The sequence below is a fragment of the Homo sapiens genome, chromosome 20 (assembly GCF_000001405.40).
Source record: "Homo sapiens chromosome 20, GRCh38.p14 Primary Assembly".
Taxonomy (NCBI): Eukaryota; Metazoa; Chordata; class Mammalia; order Primates; family Hominidae; genus Homo; species Homo sapiens.
Genome location: NC_000020.11, coordinates 30,317,772 through 30,342,784, shown reverse-complemented (window position 1 = coordinate 30,342,784; position 25,013 = coordinate 30,317,772). Strand labels below are relative to the sequence as shown.

The window sequence follows — 25,013 nt, the reverse complement described above, 5'->3', positions numbered from 1 at the left end:
CTCACTCTTGTGATCCCAGCACTTTGGGAGCCTGAGGTGGGAGGATTGCTTGAGGCCAAAAGTTTGAGACCAGCCTGGGCAGCATAGCAAGATCCCCATCATTGCAAAAAACAATTTTTAAAAAAAATTAGCTGGATATGGTGGTGCATGCCTTAGAGTCCCAGTTACTTGGGAGGCTGAGGTAGGAGGAGTTCTTGAGCCCAGGAGTTCAAGTCTGAAGTGAGCTATCATTGCACCACTGTCCTCAAGCCTGGGCAACAAAGTGAGACCTCTGCCTGTCTCTCTCTCTCTCTCTCTCTCTCTCTCTCTCTATATATATATATATATATACACACACATATAAATATATAATATATATAATTTCCATATATATATGTATATATACATATATGGAAAAGGGAAGGGGCCAATAATATCAAAGACATTGAAGAAAAGGAAAGATTTGTCCTGCCAAATATCAGGACTTTTATAAAGCTACAGCAATTAAGACAGTGTGGTCCTCACTGATACACTGACTAGTGAAACAGAATAGAGTTCCCAAGCAAATCTCCACAAATTTAATCTTCGATATGTGATGTAGGTGACATGGCAGATCAGCAAGGAAAGAAAGGACTTTTCAATAAATAGAATAGAAAAATAATGGTTATTGATATAAGAAACAAAATGAAATTATATTCCTACTTCATTCTATATACAAACATTAAATTCCAGATGGACAAAAGACTTACATGTCAGAAAAAAACTTTAAAACTTTTAGTAGAAAATGTAAGTGAATGAGACACAAAAAGCCATTTAACCATTAAAAAAGAGTAGACATTTTGACTATCACAAAATTAAGAACTTTTTACATCAAAAAGTGGAAAGATAGGCTGGGTACAGTGTCTCAAGCCTGTAATCCCAACAGTACATCACCTGAGATCAGGAGTTTGAGACCAGGCTGGCCAACATGGTGAAACCCCATCTCTACTAAAAATACAAGAAATTAGCCAGGTATTAGTGGCAGACACCTGTAATCCCAGCTACTTGGGAAGCTAAGGCACGAGAATGGTCTGAACCCGAGAGGTGGAGGTTGCAGTGAGCCACTGCACTCCAGCCTGAATGACAGAGCGAGACTCTGTCTCAAAAACAAAAAATAGAAATTAAAAAATAAAAGTAAAAAAGTGAAAAGATAAACTATAAATTAGAGAAGATATTTGCAGTAACTGAAACCTACAAAAGATTAATATCATATCAACTAAGTATAAGGAGCTCCTATGAATTAATTTTAAAAATAGCAACCCAACAGAAAATTGGGAAAAGACATTAATAGGGATTTCACAAAAGAGAAAGCCTGCAAAACATAAAAATTTTCTCAACCTCATTAGTAATCAGGGAAATGCACAAGATACTTCACATCTATTCTCTCCACAAATATTAAGAAGTTTGACAATACGAAATGTATTAGTCCATATTCACACTGCTGATAAAGACCTACCTGAGACAGGGAAGAAAAAGAGGCTTAATTGGTTTAAGGGTTCCACATGGCAGAGGAGGCCTCAGAGTTATGGCGGTGGATGAACAGCACTTCTTACATGGCAGTGGCAAGAGAATATGAGAAGGAGGCAAAAGAAGCAAAAGATGAAACCACTGATAAACCCATCAGATCTTGTGAGATTTATTCACTATCACAAGAATAGCATGGGAAAGACTGGCCCTAAAGATTCAACTACCTCCCCCTGGTTCCCTCCCCGAACACATGGGAATCCTGAGCAATACAATTCAAGTTGAGATGTGGGTAGGGACATAGTCAAACCATATTATTCTGCTCCTGGCCCCTCCAAATCTCATGTCCTCAGACTTCAAAACCGATCATGCCTTCCCAACAGTCCCCCAAAGTCTTAAATCATTTCAGTATTAACCCAAATGTCCACTTTCCAGTCTCATCTGAGACAAGGCAAGTCTCTTCTGCCTATGACCCTGTAAAATCCAAATCAAGCTAGTTACTTCCTAGATACAATGGGGGTACAGGTAATTGAGTAAATACAGCCATTCCAAATGGGAGAAATTTGCCAAAACAAAGGGATTACAGGCCCCACGCAAGTCCAAAATCCAGCAAGGTAGTCAAATTTTAAAGCTCCAAAATGATCTCCTTTGACTCCATGTTTCACATCAAGGTCATGCTGATGCAAGACGTGGGCTCCCACAGCCTTGGGTAGTTCTGCCCCTGTGGCTTTGCAGGGTATAGCCCACCTCCTGGCTGTTTTCATGGGCTGATGTTGAGTGTCCACAGCTTTTCCAGGCTCATGGTGAAAGCTGTCAGTGAATCTACCATTCTGGGGTCTGGAGGAGAGTGGCCCTCTCCTCACAGCTGCACTAGGAAGTGCCCCAGTAGGGACTCTGTATAGGGGCTCTGACCCCACATTTCTCTTCTGCACAGCCCTAGCAGAGGTTCTCCATCAGAGCACCACCCCTGCAGCAAACTTCTGCTTGGACATCCAGGTGTTTTCAAACATCCTCTGAAATCTAGGTGGAGGTTTCCAAACCTCAATTCTTGACTTCTATGCATGTGCAGGCTGAACACAACATGGAAGCTGCCAAGGCTTGGTGCTTGCACTCTCAAGGCCATGGCCTGGGTTCTATGTTGTCCCCTTTCAGCCATGGCTGGAGGGGCTGAAACACAGAGATACAAAGCCCTAGTCTACACACAGCACAGTGAACCTGGCCCAGCCCAGAAATCCATTTTATCCTCCTAGGCCCCCGGCTTGTGATAGGAGGGGCTTCTGTGATGACCTATGACATGTCCTGTAGACATTTTCCCCATTGTTTTTGGGATTAACATTCAGCTTCTTGTTACTTATGCAAATTTCTGCAGACAGCTTGAATTTATCCTCAGAAAATGGGATTTTCTTCTCTATCACATTGTCAGGCTGCAAATTTTCCAAAACTGTATGCTCTGCTTCCTTTATAAAACCGAAGGCCTTTAACATCACCCAAGTCACCTCTTGAATGCTTTACTGCTTAGAAATTTCTTCCAGCAGATACCCTAAATTATCATTCTCAAGTTAAAAGTTCCACAAATCTCTAGGACAGGGGCAAAATGCTGCCATTCTCTTTGCTAAAACATAACGAGAGTTACCTTTGCTCCAGTTCACAACAAGTTCCTCATCTCCATCTGAGACCACCTCGGCCTGGACCTTATTGTTCAAAACACTATCAGCACTTTTGTCAAAGTCATTCAGCAAGTCTCTAGGAGGTTCCAAATTTTCCCACATTTTCCGGTGTTCTTCTGAGCCCTCCAAACTGTTCCAATCTCTGCCTGTTACCAAGTTTCAAAGTCACTTGCACATTTTTGGGTATCTTTTCAGGAGCACCCCACTCCACTGGTATCAATTTACTGTATTAGTCTGTTTTCACACTGCTGATAAAGACATACCCAAGTCTGAGAAGAAAAAGAGGTGTAAAGAAAAAGAACTGTAATTGGATTTACAGTCCCACATGGTGGGGGAGGCCTCAGAGTCATGGCAGGAGGTAAAAGGCACTTCTTACATGGCAGCAGCAAGAGAAAATGAGGAGGAAGCCAAAGCAGAAACTCCTGATAAACCCATCAGATCTCATGAGACTTATTCACTATCATGAGAATCATACAGGAAAGACTGGCCTCTGTGGTTCAATTACCTCACCCTGGGTCCCTCCCCTAACATGTGGGAATTCTGGGAGATAGAATTCAACCTGGGATTTGGGTGTGGACACAGCCAAACCATATCACCATATATGGAGAGACTGGATCAACAAGATCATCTCGAACTAATACAGGAGGTGAGAGTTTAAATTAGAACAACCACTTTGGAAAGCAATTTGGATTATCTTATAAATTTGAGCATTCTCATATGTTATGGCAAAGTAATTCCTCTGCCATAGGCCCTGGAGAAACTCTTGCCCATATGTACCAGAAGTATTAAAAAAAAATGCTCATGTAATGCCATTCATAATAGCAAAAATCTGGAAATAAGCCAAATGTTCATTAATAGGAGAATGGGTAAATTAATAGGAGAATGGGTAAATAAATTATACCCTTAAAAACTAAATAATATGTCATTTAGGGTAATCATATGTATGCAATCAAACAATGTTTTTTTTTTTTTAAAGGAAGAGAATCCTAAACATAAATTCAGGGTATTAGTTACCCTCGGGCTGAAGGTGGAAAATCAGAAAAAAGGACAGAGGAGGAGCAGATGTTAGGGTCAGAACCCTAGTTCTTTGGTTGTGTTGTAAGTTCACAAGTGATTACCATATTGTTCAAATACATTTACACAGAGGCTCAGGCACAGACAAGGATGAAATAGGAGCCAAGGTGTGCTATGAGCCAAGGATTATGATTAATCCAATTTTGAGCACTTTAAGTCATTTGAAAAACAGAAAAGCAAAACAACAAAATAATTTTTAAGAAATTGAATATAGGGTGCTATGCTCTGAATGTGTCCCCCTAAAATTAATCACCAATGTCATAGGATTAGGAAGTAGGGCTTTTAGGTAGTGATTCAGTCATGAAGGGAGAGTCTTCACAAATGGGTGTAGGATCCTTACACAACTGGAAGGAGTGGGCTTCCCCTGTTTTGCCCTTCCGCCTTCTGCCATGTGAGGACACAGTGCATCTCCTCCTGAAGACACAGTGCACAAGGTACTATCTTGGATGCAGAGACCAGGCCCTCACCAGACACCAATCCTGCTGGCACCTTGATCTTGGACTTCTAGCCTATGGAACTGTGAGAAATACATTTCTGTTCTTCAGAAATTACCCAGCCTAGTGTATTTTCTATATAGTAGCACAAACTCATTAAGGCACAATGCCTCTTGTCATTTTCTTCTACAGTTTTCTTTGTTGCCTCTTTAGCACTGGGTCATTTTATATTTGATCCTTCATAATACCTCTTACTTTCGGTTTTTCACATTTCTGTTCCAAGTGTATTCTTAGATACATATTTTCCACTATTAGTTAGCCTCAGGGGTTGCCAGGGAGTGTGTGTTTCTGTGCCACCACTGTAGGACTGTGTGTGTGTGTGTGTGTGTGTGTGTGTGTGTCCCGTTCTCTCTTCTCTCTCTGTCTCTCACCCTCTGTGTGTTTCTTTCCCTCTCTCTGTCAGTCTGTGTGTGTGTGTGTTTGTGTGTGTATGCCTGTGTGTGTGTGTATCTTTGGACGAATGTGCTCTGTTCACCAAAATGCAAATTTTTGCATATCGGCCAGTCTTTGTTGAGCCTCTTTCTGTGTCTCTGCCTGGGTCCCCTGGCCGGTTGTCCGTCATTTTCACGGCGGTTCCACTTTGGGTTTGTGAAGTCCTCGATCATGTGAGGAGACGCGTCAGTCCCGGAGCAATCGAAGTCTCATCCCCATCCTGAGCGGCCACTTTTCTAAGATCAAGAGGACCACACTCCAGCCCAGGACAAAACCCCACAGCAGCTCATTGTCCGGCAGGAGAGGAGCAGACCCACCTCCAAGAAGATGGTTGTACCCCTGCACGGCTCTTCTCTGAGCAATGAAGCCACACCACGATACAATTCTGAGGAGGAAGCCGGGAATGGGAGACGGCAACAATCCCTGTCCCTGGAATGCTGGCCTCTCTGGACAAGTCACACATTTCACACCCCTCCCCTTATGCCCGTGGCAGTGGCAAGGTCCTGTAACCTGCCTGGGCTCTGGCCTCTGCTCTGTCCTCCCTCTTGCTCTGTCTCCCCTGTTTCTGAGGGGCCTAGTTGCCTCTTGGTCTGGCTAATAACTTCTACGAAGATCGCTTCCCAGTCCATCAGGGAGACACTTTCTGGAGATGCGTGACATGACTCTTTCTCTCTCCAAACCTGTTTCTGCTGGATTGGGCAGGTCTGATAAGCCTGGAACACTTGGCTTCCATGCGTGTCTCAGACAGGGAAGCTTCTTTGGTCTCCTTGCTTCACCTCATGGGTGGGTGGATTGCCTAGAATAAGCGCTAGGTGATCATGACTGGCCTTGTCTTCTAGGACAGGTGGTGTCCCATTTCCTCTGCAAGTCCTGTCTCACAAATGAGGGATATCCTCTCCTCTACTCATAGGTGGACTGATTCCTTGAATCTTTTGGCTGTAATGAATGTCAGGAAACCAAAGGAACTGGGCTGGGCCTGGGGATGGGTTTGGGGCTGGGTGCAGGGAAGGTTGCATCAGGGCTACCTGGGCGGTGGAGGCTTCGGGGTGGGGTGAATGTTGCAGAAACCTCTGTGCTCCTCTGGCAGGCATTTCAAAATGTGGCTTGGACTGAGGCACAGGCCCCATCCAGGTTCCCAGGTCTTCTTTGAGTTCCCTTGGCACTCAGGGAAAGGCCACTTGTTTCCCGTTTCCACTGGGCACATGCCTGGACACCATTGTTGGTTTCGCCATCACCCCATATGCCTCCGGTGACGCACATTCACACCATCTGCTGTGGGATACGCCAGTGCCACACGTGATCGCATTGTCTCCACCTCTGCTTCGCACCATCCCTGTTTGCACATGTCCTGGAAAGCGGTGTCCGCTTGCAGGAGCCCCAGGGCTTTTAAAAGCGGGGCACGCCACTGCTCTTTCAACGGAGGAGGGAGGCAGAGGGCTCACGGATCAATGAACTTTCAGCTGACACCACGCTTTGAGGGCCATGGGATCATTCTGTGCTGCAGCGAGGACCTGCCTGCCTCACCAGATGTGCTGAGCCCATCCTTTCTAATCCAGAGGGGTCCAAACTAGGATCTGAAGAGGAGTCCTGAGAACCCAGCAGGTGCCCTGAAGATCCCCCTCCATCGGTGGAAGTCGGCTCAAGGAGGTCCTGAAGACTGGACTCCTGGGGGTTTGGCCCGGGGACAGGATACTCAAGGACTCCTCTCCCACCCCGCCCCAAACTGGACCTCAGCCCCCACGCCACAGCCCCCACTTTCTCCCCAGAGCTGAGGGACAGAGAATTGCGACTAGAAATTCGATCGATTGCTACGAGGGACCACGTGGCCAGGGGCTGGCCAATGACCAGGCCGCCCAGGATGAGTAATAATGGAAGCAATTTGTAACTTTCAGTAACTCTCTAGGCCTGGGTACCGGAGGGAGGGAGGCGGGCAAAGGAAGGGAGATGGGCACCCCCAGTCTTTCCATCCTCCTCATTCGTCTAGGTGCACCCGAATCCCCTATTCCTTATTTCCCGTATCACTCAGGCACTGGCAGCGTCCTTTGCCCACTCCTGTTGGCCGCGGCGGCTCCAAAGCGAGGTAAGCTGGTCCTCTACCCCTCAAACTCTTCACAACCTTCACCCCGTTTACTAGCACCTGCAAACCACAGCCTCCCTTCCTGTCCCATTAGTGAATTTAAATCGGATTTTGTTTTTCCTCTTAGTTGAAAGAAAAAAATCTTTTTGTATTCTTTTGTGTAACCTATCTCGGATTTGGAGAAAATTTTAATTCAAATTAATACACTTATATTGGGGGGGGTGAGTGGTACTTTCCTCCTTTTCAATAAATTTCTATACTTGCTACTTTATGGAGAGTTTACTTTTCTTTGGGGATGAGTTACACCTTATGTTTTCACATGTGTTACTTCTTTAATGATAAGTGCAACTCCTTTCTCCATTCCATCCTCCAATTTTGCTATTTATAAATATCACCTAATGGATTTAGAGTTTATTCATTTTTCTCCTCCCTCACTAGTTTTTCAGCTGTTACCGAATCACCACAATTTATTTTTCTCTGTATGTGGATGAGGTTTTGTGTTGATTCCTCTTTTTGTTTTGTAAATGAATTTATTGTTTGGGAAACTCTTGGGGTGGTGTGTGTAAAAAAGGTCTTTTGATTAATTCCAACCTCTCCTCTTCTGAAGAACAATTTGCTTGAAATTTTTGTGTATTTTCCTCATTTTTATTATGTTTAAATTTGAGGTATTTTACCTTCTTTAAAACCTGACCTCTTTTTAAAATTTAACCTTTTGCATGTTAAACCATTTTTAAGGTTTTTATTTTATAAACTGCAATGGTTAGTAGATTTACTTGTCTTTCCCTGACCTCCTTCACGCTCCTGCCTCCTCCATCTCAAAACTCCCATCCCCAGCTTCCACAATTCTCAGCTTCCAACGGACTCATCCTCCCCTCTCCTCCCAGCCAAGGAGGGATGCCTGGGAAGTAGACAGTGTCCTTCTTGGGTCAGAACCTATGCTCTGGTTCTAGTTCAGGACACCTCCAGTCTCACCTCCAAGCTGGCAAAACGAGTGAGAGCAGAATTTCTGTTCAACTTTTTCATTTGGGACTAAGTTCTTTCCACTTGGCTGTATTCTGGAGAACTCTGATACATGAAATTGAATTTTAAATTCTCATTTTTTCCTTAAATTCTAAGAAAAGTGCAGGCAGATTGTTTTTCTTCCTTAAATGTAAGCTGTTAGCTTAGGGGTCAGCCCTTTGGGTCTTTTACCTCCTGGGGGAGACTTCTCAGAGAGACATACAGTGTTGATTCTTCCTTTTAGTTTTTGTTAAGGTAGAAGGGGCAGGGATTGAGGAAGCCCAAATTGATCCCTGGCTCTAGCTCTGAACAAAGAAGGGTAGAGAGCTGGCCTGGGGACTTGTTCCTTTTGTCAGTAAGGTTTGGCTTAGGAGAGAGTTTGAAGTAAATCCCAGCCCTGAGGAAATTCTTCTTTTTAGCATTACTGTGAAAATAAACTCTTAAAATGGTGTGACATGGCTTCAAACTATTCAGATTCCTTGAAGTAACAAAAATAAACTTACAAGAGTAATTTGTGTTTCCCAGAGATCCGCCTCCAGTGACTCCATTTCTCTCAGGGAAACAGAACCCAACTGGGCAGAAGCAAAACTGCCACCCCTCCGCTTTCAGGTCCCCAGTCACATTGACATTCTGGGCACATTTGGCCCAGCCCCCGTCCCTGCTTCTCCCAAGTATGAATCTAAGTTACTATTAATAAGGGGCCGCTCCAAGTTAATTGGCATTAAAAGAATTCATTTCAATTTGTTAATATTAAATGAATGCTCTGCACTTTAGCTCCCTTCTTCGCCCTGGATTCCCAGATGAGTGATGGGAAGAGGGGGCAGGGAAGTAGAATGAGGATTTTATTTCTGGCTCTCCAGCTTAGCCACTGTGGTGCCTCCCCTGGGGGTGTGCGATTAGGCACAGTGGGGGACGGCTTGGGGAAAGTCTGATGGTCTTTTTTGGTGAAATTCATCTGTTTCAGCAGGAGTTGTGGAGGAGGGTTGGGGGGAGCAGAGGGAGAGAGACAGAATGGTTTGGGGGACTTTGTGGGGAGCAGAGGGACTAGGGAGAAAGTGGGAAGGGAAAGGGACGGAGGTCAACAGGAGTTTTGGAGAACAAGGGTTGTAGGCTGTGGGGGGTAAAGCAGATTTGTGAAGAACTTATGATAGGAACTAAACAACCCACCTAGAAGGGGAGGGGCTTTGAGCAGGGGTGGGGAGGTGGGATTTGAGGCAAAACAGCTAGGAGTTCTGAAACTATTAATATCTAGCTGTGTGACTCAGGGCAAGTTGCTTAACTTTTCTCTCTGCCTTAGTTTCTTGACCTGTAAAACAGGGATACTAATAATAGAACTTATCTCAGGGGGTTATTTGGAATTAGAAGAAATACATGCCATGTGTTTTCCACAGTGCTTGGCACATAGAAACTGCCAGTAAATGTTAGCTCTTTTTATGGCAGAGTGGTTAACAGGATGGATTCTGGAGCTAGACGGCCTGGTTTTGAATCTCGGTCATGCCTTATGTGAGTTGTATGACCTAGGCAAGTTACTTAACCCCTTGTGCTTTAGTTTTCTTGTCTGTAAAACGGGGTTAATAGTACCTAGCTCAAAGGCTGCTGTCAGGATTAAATGAGTTATATGTACAAAGAGCCTGGAACAATGTCCATCCCATAGGAAACACTATGTACCCATTAGTTGTCATTGATATTGTTGCTCTTCTGATCTAGGAAGGTTGAAAATAGAGGCATAGGTGAGCTACTACTTACAGGCTAAGATTGGAATCAGATCAACTCTTTCTCTCCTATCCCTGAAGCTAGTCCTGCAAATGGGGCTGCATATGAGGGCTTGGGGAGAGAGCCTATAAACCTGGAAGCTGGGATATCCAAGTCTTTCCTCTGCTCTAGCTCTTGGGTTGGTGGTCCCTCCAAGACCCATAGACTCAAAGTCACTTCTTTTTCCCTGGGCAAGGTTGGGTTGGATCTGGTAATGGGAGAATTACTTTCTTGGTCTAATAACTCCCTTTAGTAGAGAGGTAGTCCTGGGAGTGTGAGTTGGGGGAGGTTGGGTAGAGCAGAGGAGATTAAATATCCTTTATGTACCAGCCCACACACACTTGACCTCACCAGAGGGTTGGGAAGACAGAGATTCAAAGAGAGGAAGTGATCTGACAAAGTTCTAAAGCTAGAACTTGGCAGAGTTGGCATCTGAACTCTGATCTGCTTGATGACAAACTTAAAGCCCTTCCATTGCTGCATGCTTTTTGAAGGGAGGGATGGGACACGTGTAAACTTGGGCCAGGACCATGGGGTAGATGGAAGATGGGTGAAGATAGAGTATTGGAGTGGAAAGTGGCCAAGCAGGAATTTTTCAATCATGGAAGATTTCCTGAGAAAAGAGATTCCAGATCAGGGTTCAGATGGTAGGGGAATGAGGATAGGAAATAAAGAAGAGGGAGGGAGCCATGCATTGACAAGGAAGGAGAAGAAAAAAGAATTTATGCAAAGGCTGGGTCAGAGTAATGGACATGAATTTGATTTGCCTTCCGTTTGCCTTACCATTTATTGAAGGCATACTATGTACTAGGTACATACATGATCACATTTGATGTTCACAACAGCCCTGACAAGTGGGTTTCTTATCCCTATTTCCAAAAGAGTTCATTGAAGTTCTGAGAGCTTAATCCCCGCTTTAGGTTACACAGTAGTAGCTGGATTTCCTGGCATGAGAACCCTCACCTAGGCTGTCTCTGAGCCTGGCTTCTGTGTCCCAGTCTCAATTTCCATGACTGTTTCAGGTCCTCCTGTTCCCTCATATTTGTAGTCACTCTTGGTGACTGGGAACAAAGGGCTAGAGCATGAGCTGAAACTGAGACAGGGAGTGGCAGGCAGGCAGTGGGGACAGAAACTTTTCTCACATCCACCCATGTGAAGAAGATGGACCGAACGGTGGTCTTTCTGGACGGAGGCTTCCAAGCCACTTTCCGGAAACAGCTGATCTTGGGATGAATGGCAGGGACCTGATTGGGTAGGGGATGGGTGGTCACATTGTTTTCTGGGCTGTAGACTTTATTTCCCTTCCTTTGGGAAGAGAAGAGGAAGAGGACAGCTCAGGTGTGGGTTTGAGCCCTGGATTAAGACTGCCCATTGTCCACTAAAATCTCTTCTTTCCTTGCTGCCCGAGGGTGGAGAGACACCCAGCTGGACACTCCATTTCCCAGCTGTCTTGTTGCCAGGTGTAGACACAGGGAAATGTGAGGAGAGCATGTCCTCAAAGCCTGACGGCATTGGGTAAATTCTCCTTTGTGTTCTCTCTTTCATGAGCTGGGCAGATGTGCCTGAGACAGGTTTGACCAGGCAACTGAAAAGATATCCCTAAGAGAAGACAAAGCAAAGGTATGAAAGGAACACACGTCCCTGACTGACTAGGAGGAACAGAGCTGCCTGCTGTCTGGAACCGCTTCCTCCCAGACTAAGAGAGAAATAAACTTCTGTTTTCTATATGCTACTGTGTTTTGGGGCCTTTGTGTTATAGCAGTTTTGCTGTCATCCTTTCTAATTCACCTTCTCACACCAGATATTTCAAATTAAAAAGATTATATCAGGCCAGGTGCGATGGCTCGTGCCTGTAATCCCAGCACTGTGCGGGGCTGAGGCAGGCGGATCACTTGAGGCCAGGAGTTCGAGACCAGTCTGGCCAACATGGTAAAACCCCATCTCTACTAAAAAATACAAAAATTAGCTGGACACAGTGGCACACTCCTGTAATCCCAGCTACTTGGCAGGCTGAGACAGGATAATTGCTTGAACCCAGGAGGCGGAGGTTGCAGTGAACTGAGATCATGCCACTGTGCACCAGTCTGGACTACAAAATGAGATTCTGTCTCAAAACAAAAAACTGATTACATCAGATCACGGAATAACTATAATGATATTTATTGGGCCAGATAGTATGCGAAGGACTGTATGCACATTATTTAGTGTAATCTATGTGACAATCCTCTGAGATACGTGTTACTATTATTCCAGTTTATACACGAGGAAACAGGTTCAAGGAAGGTAAGTTATGTGCTGAGGGACACACAGGAGGGGGTGGAGCTGGATTTCAAGCCCACTGGGTGTGCAGAACTGAGCCTCTTCACCATGGGGGCAAATCCCTCCTGAGGACAGGGCTGGAAAAGCCATGGAGATCATCTTGTGCTTGGACAAGCCTCTCGCCAGTCACCACAGGGTCCTGAGACTCCCATTCTTACCTTCAAGAAGCTCAGCAGGCTACTACTCGTGTTCATGTTGGGTCACTATATATGGTTTTATTTGAAGGAAGGACCCCAGAGTTAAACTCATGTGAAAACCCCTGATAAATTCAGTCCCCTCCCTCTTTTTACAGGTGAGGCCTGGAGAGAAGATATGACTTGCTTAAGGTCACACACTTAGTTTCTCTGTCAATCTTTCTAAATCTAGGACGAGTTCTCTTCCCACTGTATCAGGCTGCCTCAACAAATAAGGAAGTACAAAAATAGCCAAATCCAGGAAGGAGGGCAGTGGTCTGTGTCTCCTCCAATAATTTCATGGGACAGCCAAGCCTATTTCCTTGATTTCCCTTGTGCCCCTCCTGTTGGATATCAGATTTGGGACCCATCTCTTTTGGGCTTGCAGAGAGAATGGGCTGCACCAGTTCTCTGCCCTCCGCATCACCCAGATGGTCAAACATGCAAAGGGAAAGGAGAGCTGGGGCCAGAGCCAAGGCAGGCAAAGAGACTCCTCGACACCCTCCAGTCTTTCCACATTTATATTTTTGGAATTTCAGGCTCCCTCCTCCCCCTGGACCTTTCCTAGTAGCCCACCAGGGAGAAGAAGAGGGAAAACTGCCATAAATTTCTCCTATTTATACAAGATGACAGAGTTTCTTGTGCCAGTAAAAACACAGAAAGGGAGCTGTCAGGGGAGAAGGGACCCAGCCCTATACCTTCTGGGGTCAATTTATCTTTCCGAATCGTGGCTTGGGGGCTACCCTAACATTGCCTGTATGAAATGCAGGCTTCGACTTGGGGCAGCCAGGCTAGACAGCCCCTGAGCTTTGTTTCTGATCACAGTTTTCCTGCTTCATCTCAACTTCCCCCTACCCCTTATGCTGTCTTTTTAAAAAACAACTTTCTTGAGGTATAATTCATGTGTCATACAATTCACCATTTGAAATGTACAATTCAATGATTTTAGTATATTCACAGGTGTGTCAAACCATCATCATAGTTAATTTTAGAACATTTTCATCACCTCAAAAAGAAATCTTGTAACCTTTAGCTATCACCTCCCTATCCCCCCATATTCCTTCTTGCCCTTAACAACACTAATGTACTTTCAGTCTCTGTAGATTTCCCTATTCTGGACTTTCATATGAATGGCATCATATAATAAGAGACCTACTGTGACTAGCTTCTTTCATTGAGCATAGTGTTTTCAAGGTTCATCCATGTTGTAGCATTTATCAGTACTTCATTCCTTTTCAAGGCTGACTAATATTCCATTGTATGGGTATATCACACTTTGTTTATCCGTTCATCTATTGGTGAACATTTGGGTTGTTTCCACCTTTTGGATATTATTATTCTCTCTTTCCTCTCATTCTCTAGACATCTTGGATAGTATCCAGTGAGGCCTGTGGGCAAGAATTGGTGTTTCTTATATTTGGGTACACCTAATATCCATGAAAGCAGGGTCTTGGCACATGTCTGCTTTCATATTAAGTACATGTACTAGCTGGAATTTTCCTCCCTCTATTGTTACTGAGGTGGGGCTGCTCCCTCCTTTATCAATTCTCCCTTTTTATCATGATAGCTATGTTGGAAACTTGCTGACTCTTCAGACTAGGGGATTCAGATCCTTCTCTTGGGGCTTCAAAGACATGGAGTGGATGAATGAATGTCTTCCCATGAGGGAAGAGTTCCCTGAGTCTGGTCTCAAGTGATTCTCCAGTGCCTCACAGTGGAAGGAAGGTCTGTGAAGGCTCCAGGTTCTAGGGAAAGTTATGTTCTTGGAGGTATGACTGAGCCCAGAATCCAGGCCTCCAGTTTCCATCTCCTTGCCTGGACCATTTCAGTCTTCAGACATGCTTTGAGGTCAATCCAGTCACTCACCCAGCAACAGACACTGCCTCTGCCCTCATGGACCTTGCAGTTCTAGTGGTGAGAGTAAGATGAATACAAGTGAACAAAATGATGGCAAGTTGTTCAAGCTTGTTCAAACTTCTAAACACTGTTCAATGAATGAATGAACCAACAAGAACTTACTATGTGCTCTGGAAAGAAAATGTGAAAAAAGTCAGAGTTGTAAATCACTTTCTGCTACCACTACCTTTCCTAGTCTGGAAGTCAGCATTACTTCTCCATCCCTTGGAGGAGATAGTGGGCAGATATTACAAAATGTTAGCTAATAAGAGCTACCATTTATTGGACCAGACATACACCAAGGGGTTTCTATAGTTCATTAATTTTCACCCTTTGAATTAGGCATCAATATTTCCATTTTGAAGATGAGAAAAACCAAAACTCAGGTTAAAGTAGCTATCTGAAATCACACCCATAGCAGCAAGTGGCAGAACATTTGCTCTGGACACTGGGATAAGTATGTGTGTATGGGTTTTTTTTGTTGTTGTTTTTTGTTTTCTGTTTTTTTTGTTGTTGTTGTTGTTTGTTTTTTTGGGGGGATGGAGTTTTGCTCTTGTTGCCCAGGCTGGAGTGCAATGGCATGATTTCAGCTCAATGCAAACTCCACCTCCTGGGTTCAAGTGATTCTCCTGCCTCAGCCTCCTGAGTAGCTGGGATTACGGGTGGCCGCCACCACACCTGGCTAATTTTTGTATTTTTAGTAGAGACACGGTTTCGCCATGTTGGCCAGCCTGGTCCCAAATTCTTGACCTTGTGATCCGCCTGCTCCTATCTCCCAAAGTGCTGGGACCACAGGCGTGAGCCACTGCACCCGGCCATGTATGTGTTTTTATTCCTAGCACTTCATAACAAATGCCAATATCTCTTCCTGCAGCCTTACCACAGAGGGAGCTGATCAGTTTCCCCTCCTGCCCAAAGGCAAAGCAGCCACAGTGAAAGTGCCAGAGTACTCCCTCACAGCCTTCTGTCTAGTGGTTATTCCCGCTTCAAGGCTAAGGAAGGGAAGGACCCGTTTTGCTTTCAAAGGCTTTTTCCTTCCAGCCCTTGCTGTGTGCCCGTTGTGTGTGGGAGGGACCATGAGAAGCCTGGATATTGTCAACAAAAGACTTGAACAAGCCAAAGAGCTGATGATGTTGACAAGAAGGGGACCTTAACAAGGCAGATAATCAAAAGTTGATGACTGACAGCCCCTTTTGCATCCCTTCACCCTCTACTAAATCAGGTCTCTTACATGATCTTGATGACAAATAATAAAAATTATAAACACATTACAGTTTTCACATGCATTTGTTCACTTCTCACAGCAAATATGAGAGGTATCTAAGGCTGAGCAGCTTATTACAGAAAAGGTTTATGGGACTAGAACCTTAATTTTATGTAACAAAATTTATATAGAGCTTACCATGGATCATGTACTCTCCTAAATAGTTCAAAACTTTCATTTTTAGAGAGATGGGTGTCTTGCAGCCAGGCGCAGTGGCTCACACATGTAATCCCAGCACTTTGGGAGGCTGAGGTGGACAGATCACCTGAGGTCAGGAGTTTGAGGCCAGCCTGACCAACACGGTGAAACCCTGTCTCTACTAAAAATGCAAAACACAAAAATTAGCTGGGTGTGGTGGTTCATCCCTGGAATCCGGAGACTGAGGCAAGAGAATCACTTGAACCCAGGAGGTGGAGGTTGCAGTGAGCTGAGATCATGCCATTGCACTCCAGCCTGGGCAACAAGAGTGAAACTCCATCTCAAAAAAATAAAGGAGGGAGCGGTCTTGCTATGTTACCCAGGCTGGTCTTGAACTCCTGGGTTCAAGCAATCTTTCCACCTCAGCCTTCTGAGTAGCTAGGACTATGGGCCCATGCCACCAGGCCTGGCTGTATCTCATAACTATTAACTCATCTACTTTTTCACCACCATGTGAAGTAGGCATTACTGTTATTCACATTTTTTAAGATGTGGAAACTGAGGCATGGTAATCAAGTATCTTGCCCAAGGTTGTACAGCCAGCAGGTGGTAGAACAGGGATCTTGAGCCCAGCCCCAGCATCTGTGTCTAACCACTTCGCCAGGTGGGCTTTGCATGGGGACTACACTTGAAACTCTAGTTTGTTAGTCTGGTGCCCCTGCTTCCACCTGCCTCCCTCAGTCTTTATGGCCCATTGGCAAAAGGAAGCCAGAGCTGTGGCTCCCAGGGTGACGATCCTTCAGCTGCCTCCTTGGCACTGTCATTCCCTCCTCCCATCTCCCGCCAAGGGCTACAGCCGAGAATACCACAGACGGTTTGCCATGGATCAAGATTTCTCTCAATAGAGAGCTCACAGAAAGGCTGCTGTGAGAAAGGAAGTCACTTGCTACTCCCCTTATTCCTCCATCAGGAGGAGCCTGATGAGGTCACTGCACATTTGAGTGGGTGCTATCAAAGCACAGCCTCTGGCCAGCGTGGAGACAAACGTGGGCTGTGTGGCCCATGACTGAGTGGCTGAAAGGAAACCTGAAGTGGTAAATGATGGAACCGATTGAAATAAAACTACTGTAGGAATGCTGCATGTCATTCATTCAACAGTGCTCCCTGACCAGGGCCCAGGGCTGTGCATATGAGCTGCAAATGGGTTTGTTCATTCGTTTACATATCTATTTGCTTATTTATTCAATAAATTCTGATTATGCCCCTAAGAGGCACTGTGCTAGATGTCAAGGGTGAACAAGACAAAATCCCTTCCCCACAGGGGCTCCCGGTCTAGAGAGGGGAGGAGGAAGGAAGATGCACAGTGATTTGTATCATATGCTGAGGAAAGAGAGTCATTTACTATCGCCGTTTGACATCCTCACCCCCAGTGCGGTCCTTCTCTTTGTCTCTCCATGCTGGGAGTGGGCAGTCCCTGCCCTGCTGCCCTTCAGACACAGCCCTCTTCCCTCAAGCTGCCCTCTGCCTGGATCCCACCTTCCTTGTGAGCTGGAGTGTTTGCGTTGAAGGAGTCTTGACTCTCTTTCCCTGTCAGTCACTGTTTGGCTGCAGGTAGTGATAGAGGTGGCAATAAAGCAGCAGAGAGAAGGCTTTGGTATCAGAGCAGGGACTCGCGGGTGGGATGGGATGGGGATGGTTTTCTGTTTGCCCCACTGTGTTCTCTGTGCTGCTCTGCCCAGGGAGGCTGACCTCTGCAGACTGTGTCACCTGGGCCCCCTGATCTCTCGGCCAATAGAGGTCCCAGCTGAGAACGGGGAGAGAGGAGTCAGGGTATTTGTTTCCCCCATTCCCTGTCAGCCCCCCTTTTTGCCTGCCTGAAGCTCTGGTGGTGGTTGTGGTTCCTCCATGGTCACAGCTTTGCTGAGTGGCCTCTCTCCTGTGTCCCATGACCCCAGTTGGCATCGGGCTTTGGTAGAGATATTTCTATCCTGGTGCCACACTAGCCCTTATTAGTTTTCTTCATCTGATCTATGCCTTTAGAAACTGTCACATCACTAAACCCTTCAGTGAAACCCTTTCGAATGTGTCATTTATTTTCTGTTGCCACCCTGACTGGCTCACCTGGGTGCAGAGGAGGTGGGGACAGAGCAGGTTGGGGCTCCAGTTCAGCTCTATTATCCCTCTTTTTCAGGGTTTCCCAGAGGAAGAGAGAGAATTTGGACAAATGAATGAGGAACAACGCTCTCCTGAGGGTTTTCTTTAAGGGGCGAGGATCACTGCCGCTAGCTCCTTTGAAAGCAAAGTTAAGAGGCAGCGCAGGAAGGCACAGCAGGAAGGCTCATGGTTAGACTACAGAGAAGGAAGCAGCCACTGCTGGGGACCTACCCTGTGCTGGTCACTGACAAGCTGTCTCATTAAACCTTCCCGGACCCTCAACCCCTCCTAGTATCTTATCCTCATTTTACAGATGAGAAGACTGCGGCCAAGAGAGGTAAAGTTCTGGGGAGCAGGATGGGAGTTTCACTTTGTCTCAGTTGCTCTGGCAAAGAGAAGCCTCACCTTGTGATCAAGAGATTGGGAGGGTGACAGATAAATTTTGGCTTAAGTGTCAACATAGCACTGGGAATCTGGAGCTAAACGGCACTGGCTTGACTCCTTGTATCTGCATCTTAGTAGCTGTGTGATACTGGGCATACCTCTGTTTCCCCATCTATAAAAATGGGGCTAATGTTAATAACACCTGCCTTACAGGTTGTGTAGTAGGTTGAATTTGTAGTTATGAGGTGCCCAGGAACAGTGCTAGCACACAGTGAGCGCCATACACAAGTGTTAAAGAATGGAGCCTCCTGCTCTCTCCTTATTTTCCACCCCCTGCCCTCTTCTCATTGCCCACCTCCCCTGCCTTCTCCTCACCATCCTGAAAAAGGATGAACAGCCACCCAGGAGCCCCTGAACAAGCATGTTGGCCCCAGGCCCTTTGTGAGCATGCTTTTCCCTGCCCTGCCCCTTGTCATCACCATTCTGGATGGAGCAGCAAGGACGGAGACACTTATTTGGGTTATCCACTCCAGGTCCAATGCCAGTGGGATCAGCTTCGATGGGATGCGCACAGACTGACCTCTTCTCCCCAGCCCCTTCAACTTCCCAGAGCTGCAGGGGGCCTGGGAGTTCTTGGTAACAGCACATTAAACCTCTGTTTGTGGGAACTTTAATTTAAACACAAATTAGAGAAGGCAAATGACTCTGGCAGCCAGATAAGCCATCCCAGGAAAACAAGGAGAAAGCCAAGAGAATCAGCCCAGATAAGGTCTGACTTTAAACTACTGCTGATACCCAGAAGCCTGGGACAGATGAAATCTAGGGGTCCTGAATGAAGAACCCCAGAAGCTCCACACCCCAGTTGTCCTTGCTCTGGGCTCTATGCCAGCTCCCTTTCCTGTGTTCTCTATATTTCTATCTTTTTGCAAAATTTTATCCTGATTCTTTGGCTCCATCCCTCCCACCCCCACCCTACTGTTTTAGAGAATGCACTTTCTTTACTTTGCTTCTCATCTTCTTCTGTGACCTACTATTCTGAGAAAGTTCTACTTGTTATCTAACCTCCATCTATGCTACTACCTTTAGAGTCTAATACATCCTGCTTAGTGATAACTCTGGGAGTTTCTGTTCATGTGGCAAATGTGGTGTAGTAAAAACAACCTGAAAAAGACCTGGGTGAACTTCTCTGCATCTCAGTTTCCTCATCTGTATGATGAGCGTGTGAGAAAGAATCTCTAAGGACTTGTAAACTCTGACTTCTCACAGAGAATCTGAGGACAAGGACATCCAAGGAAATCTCTATTGTTCTGGAACCCATGAATTTTCCACTGTTCTACTGTTTGGGAGTGAGCGTGGGGAGAGCAGTCCAGCCTATTGATTCCTTTCTGGGAGGGGTCTACAGGCTTTGCTTCTACCCTTCCGCCCACAACCCAGACTCAGGCCAGGCCCAGGCCCAGGAGAGAGGCTGCCTTTCCAGTTCTGTCAAGGCCTGCTGAGCCCAGCTCTGTGGGGCTGTGGCTGTTAAGATGTTGTCTCTGTCCTCTGGGGTAGGAGCAACATATGTTCCCTCTGTCACAGCACCTGTGAGGGTGGCAGAGGGATGGCAACCCCCAAGAGGGCAGGGTTCCATCTCTCCAACTGACCTTGAAGCATCTTTTTATCCTGCTTTTCTGGGAGGCTTAAAGTGAAGGCAGAGGGAGATATCACACAGTCCCAAAGCCCCCACTAAATGGGGAGCTACTGTCTTTCATCTTTCATGCAGGGTAAAAGAAGACACCTCAGCTACAGCAAGAGGAAAGAAGGTCAAACCACAGGCAGAACTTTCAGGTTGAATGTTAGAGCAGACTGTGATCCCAAGAGGTCATCCAAGACCCTTGGTCTCAGAGGATGCCTATGAGGCCCTGGTCCCTGGCTGGGGTGGGAACAATAATCCCAACAGCCCCATGCCAGACTGACTTGGGAGTCAGAAGGTACGTGGGACTAGAATAGAAGGACTTTGGCATTTTCCCTGGCCTAGGGCCCTTAGACAGAAGTGGGCAGCTGCCATCAGGAGCCTGGGGCCCAACTGTGTCCCCACCTTTCCCACCTCCCCCCTCCTGAGTGCCTGGCTGCCCCTGGAGCCCCAGGCTTGCCTGCCATCTGGGCAGCTCAGAGGAGAGCCCACTGCCAAGGGAGTGCCAGCATTGATTTATGGCCCACAACCTTGGCAGGCTCAGGCTGTGTGCCCGAACCACCTTTGCTCAGGGAAGAGATGCTCCTCTTAAAGGGACAGTGCAGAGGAATGCAGGAATGTCCAGGATGAAAGCTTAGCAGGGGGCTGGCAAGGAAGACCTCCACCCATCAGCACTCTGGGTGACTGTCACTCCCTAGGGAAACTTCTCCCTAGGGAACCGCCCATCATACCTGTTATCATACCCTATCCTTTGTGGACTTGGCCCAACTGTAACATATTAATATGTTTACTGTCAGTCTCTCCCACTGGACTGTAATCTCTAGGAGGGTAGAAACCAGACCCATTGTGCTCATTCCTGAATATTCAGCACCCAGCACAGTGCCTGGCGCCTAATAAGATCTCAGTAAGAATTTGTCAAGTGTAGGAAAGAATGAATAAATGAAGGTCCTTGTCCATGAGGTGGAGGGAAGCCCACATATCTTCTTAGTGCCTGCCATGGTTTCCGAGACCCTGCGGCATCTGCTGCTACCCGCAGGATCTCTCCCTCCAGGACCCTTCCTCAACCCTGTCATATCAACCCAGGACCAATGGGGCCAATCTTATCTGGATACCCTTGCCTCCCCACTTCCCTTGAGTCACCTTTCTTAAGTCCTTCACACAATGTTCTTTTCCTCCCATTTTCCTTCCTCCAAGATACTTTCTCAGATTACCTATGGCCTCAGTGCTGGATTCAGATACTCTTTCAGATGGTCTTTTATTTTTTTATTTTTATTTTTATTTTTTATTTTTCTTGAGACAGAGGCTCCCTCTGTCACCCAGGTGGGAGTGCAGTGGCAGTCTTGGATCACTGCAACCTGTGTCTCCCAGGTTCAAGTGATTCTCCTGCCTCAGCCTCCAGAGTAGCTGGGATTACAGGCTTGTGCCACCATGCCCAGCTAATTTTTGTATTTTTAGTAGAGACGAGGTTTCACCACGTTTGCCAGGCTGGTCTCGAACTCCTGACTTCAAATGATCTGCCTGCCTCAGCCTCCCAAAGTGCTGGGATTACAGGCATGAGCCACTGTGACTGGCCTATCCAGCAGTATTTACTGAGTATGTACTATGCACTAGGCACCGGTTGCCAAGAATTCATGAATAAATGGAACAGGCATAATCCCTGAACTCAAGGACCACACATTTCAGAGAGTGAAACAGACAAAAAAATAAGTAAGCAAGTTAGCAAATAGATACATGCAATTTTGAGACCTGTTGTGAAGTGGGTAATCACAGACAGGGTGGAGCAGGGACCCTTTAAATTGGGTGGTCAGCTAGGCATAGTGGCTCATGCCTGTAATCCCAGCACTTTGGAAGGCTGGGGCGGGCGGATCACCTGAAGTCAGGAGTTTGAGACCAGCCTCACCAACATGGAGAAACCCTGTCTCTACTAAAAATACAAAAATTAGCCAGACGTGGTGGCACATGCCTGTAATCCCAGCTACTTGAGAGGCTGAGGCAGGAGAATCGCTTGAACCCGAGAGGCAGAGATTGCCATGAGCCGAGATCGTGCCATTGCACTCCAGCCTGGGCAATAAGAGCAAAACTCCGGCTCAAAAAAATAAAATAAAATAAAATAAAATAAAGTAAAATAAAATAAATTGGGTGGTCAGAGAAAGTTTCTCTGAGGAAGTGACACTTGGGCTGAGGTTTGAAGAATGAGAGGGAGCCATGTAAAGAGTGAGGTAACAGCATTCTAGAAACAGTTCAGTCACCTGGGTGTGCACAGCAGCATTTGGGGGATGGGAGTGGGAGGGGAGCTTTTCCAAACTGCACATTCCTATCTCTTTTACATTTTGAAAGCCCCTACCCTTCCAATGTGGGAGGACCATTGCTTAAAATCTTTGGAGAAGCAACCCTGGCCTTACCTGGAAGCTGGTTAGAAAACAGAGCTCAGGTGCCACCCCAGATCTACTGAGTCAGAATGTGTATTTTAACCACGTCCCAGGTCATTTGTATGCACAGTGGTGTTTGAGAAGCAGTGTTTCAGGAAATACCTCACAGGAGGAATGGAGTGTGAGGACATCAGAGGATGTGAGGTGGGTGGGGTTGGGGGGTTGGTTGCTGAAGAGTGGATTTGAATCAGAGATGGGGGTCTGAGTGTGTATATGTGCCTCTGTGTGTGTGTTCCTCCAGCCCTAATGACTGTGGGCTATCTGAGGATGTGCATCTCCAAGCGCTTTTCCTTCCATGGGTGTGGAGTACCAGGGGATACTGTACATCTTTATCCCACTGTGACAATGCCCCCACTTCCACCTACAGCTGTGAGTCAAACAGAATCTGCCAACCTCTGGGTTGCGGGAGCAACTTGGAAGCAAGGCAAGACAAGGAGATCCCTTGTTCCTGATCTCCGGCAATCCATTTATTTGACTCCAGTCTCATAAAGGCGTCCTGATGAACCCAATCGCTTGCTAATGGTTATGAGCCAAGACCTGGGGATTTATGGCTGAGGCCTCCGTGGCCACGAACAGGAGTAGGGCTGCACACAGGATGCCAGGCTGTGCATGGCTTCAGTTCATAGAGGCCTGTACCCAGAACCACGGTGGGGACTACCACACCCCCACCTCCAAATCTGGGGCAAAGAACATTGCCCTGGGTGGGGGAAGCTGGGCTAAGGAGAAAAAAGACCTCTGGCTGGAGATGTCCAGGGATGAAGGGTGAGTGTCTGGGAAACTGGCCTGACTTGGCTGGGTGGGGTTTAGGGGGAGATACTGGAGAAGTGAGTGGAAAGGGCACTGGAATTGGACCCAGTCAAACTGGGGTTCAAATCCTGGATCTGTTTTCCACCCATGTATGACACTGGACAAATCATGGCTCTCCCTGAGCCTCATTTTTCTCATCTGTCGATGGGAATTGTGACGCTATCTCATAGGTTTGTGAGAATTAAATGAGACCAGGTACGGTGGCTCATGCCTGTAATCTCAGCACTCTGGGAGGCCAATGTAGGAGGATTTCTTGAGCCCAGGAGTTCAAGACCAGCCTAGGCAACATGCTGAAACCCTGTCTCTACAAAAATACAAAAATTAGCCAGGTGTGGTGGCATGTGCCTGAGGCTGATGTGGGAGCATTGCTTGAGCCCAGGAGCTTGAGACTGCAGTGGGCCATGATCATGTCACTGCACTCCAGCCTGGGTGACAGAGTGAGATCCTATCGAGAGAGAGAGAGAATTAAATGAGATAATGTTTGTGAAAAGCACTTCGAATATCAAATGTATATATTTAAGTGGGTCAAGAGATTGGGATTCTAATTCCAGCTCCACCACTAACTTGCTGGGATTCTAGCACTAGCACTGGTTTTGTTACCAATGGCTTTTTTTTTTTTTTTTTTTTCCTGAGACAGGGTCGCACTCTGTCGCCCAGACTGGAGTGCAGTGGTATGATCTCAACTCGCTGCAACCTCTGCCTCCCAGGCTCAAGCAATTCCCCTGCCTCAGCCCCCTGAGTAGCTGGGATTACAGGCGCACTCCACTACTGCCCACTAATTTTTGTATTTTTAGTAGAGACAGGGTTTCGCCACGTTGTCCAGGCTGGTCTCGAACTCCTGACATCAAATGATCCACCCGCCTTGGCCGCCCAAAGTGCTAGGATTTCAAGCGTGAGCCACCCTACCCGCCCAGTTACCAATGGCTTTGTGACCTGGGGCACATCACAGGCCCTTTCTAAGTCTTAGTTGCCCCATAGATACTAAGAGGGGACACAGTGCTGTTTTGGTTGCCTCCAGCTCTGATGTTTTGTGGTTCTAACGAGGAGTCCTTGTTTGGAAATGGAACTTTGGAATGGTTTGGATCTCATTCTGGCCATAGAGAGGGCATCATTGCAACTGTGGCTTCAGGGCCAATGTGCGGTTGGGGGGGCTGAGTCAATACAGCCCCCTCTTCCTTGATAGTGCCATCCTGTGAGTATAACTCCTGTATGGGTGCTGGACACAGTGTTGGGGAAGACTGTGCAACAGGGGTAAGTAGGAAAGGCCCTGTGGTAGGGGGTTAGCTGGGTATCCATGGCAATGCCTGAACTACTCATGCCTTTTGCACAAGTAGGTCTTCAAATAATCTCTTCTGCTTCCCTCTTTCCCACTCTTTCCCTGTCTAAGGTGTGTGGTGTTGGTGTGTGTGTGTGTGTGTGTGTGTCTAACCTGATTGGGAGAGTAAGCCAAATGGAGTGAAGTGGAGAAACATCCCCAAAAGTCCCAGGTAGAGACCTAAGGATTCCTAAATCACAGTGCAGAACAGGGTCCTCTACCCTTTTCCCATTCTGGGAACATCCTGAAGCCAGTCATTGTGGGAGAGAGACATGACCCCAACCCAGCCTCACAGACAGCACCCCTCTTCCATGCTTTGCCCTACCCTCCTTCCGTGTGCTTATATCCTAACCTTAAGCCCTAGAGACTTCTAGGTACCCAGAGAGCAGCCTATTCAGTGATGTTTACTGAGCGCATGTTATGTGCCTTGCACTGGGCCTGGAGCAAGGGCTAAGGAGTGAATTTAGACCTGATCCCTGTCCTGA

General features: G+C 46.6%; 1 long non-coding RNA gene across 4 annotated transcripts in view, besides 1 other annotated feature; it reads left to right on the top strand.

Moving 5' to 3' along the window:
• FAM242A (family with sequence similarity 242 member A) overlaps positions 1-19,474 on the top strand; it is a 38,665-nt gene extending 19,191 nt beyond the window's left edge. For 2 of the 4 annotated variants that reach the window (NR_187587.1, NR_187586.1), the window contains 2 exons: positions 17,959-18,258; positions 18,839-19,474. This is a non-coding gene — a long non-coding RNA (family with sequence similarity 242 member A). Of the gene's footprint in view, positions 1-11,525; positions 11,705-17,958; positions 18,259-18,838 lie in introns of those variants that run through there. The other 2 variants (NR_187588.1, NR_187589.1) reach the window with 1 other exon arrangement.
• Positions 20,877-21,069: a silencer, noted in NCBI's record as "fragment chr20:29556392-29556584 (GRCh37/hg19 assembly coordinates)". NCBI's record gives its function as "represses an EF-1alpha promoter that drives an FKBP-Casp9 reporter gene in an ReSE screen in phorbol 12-myristate 13-acetate-treated (for megakaryocytic differentiation) K562 erythroleukemia cells {active_cell/tissue: K562(+PMA)}" and the evidence as "EXISTENCE:reporter gene assay evidence [ECO:0000049][PMID:32094911]".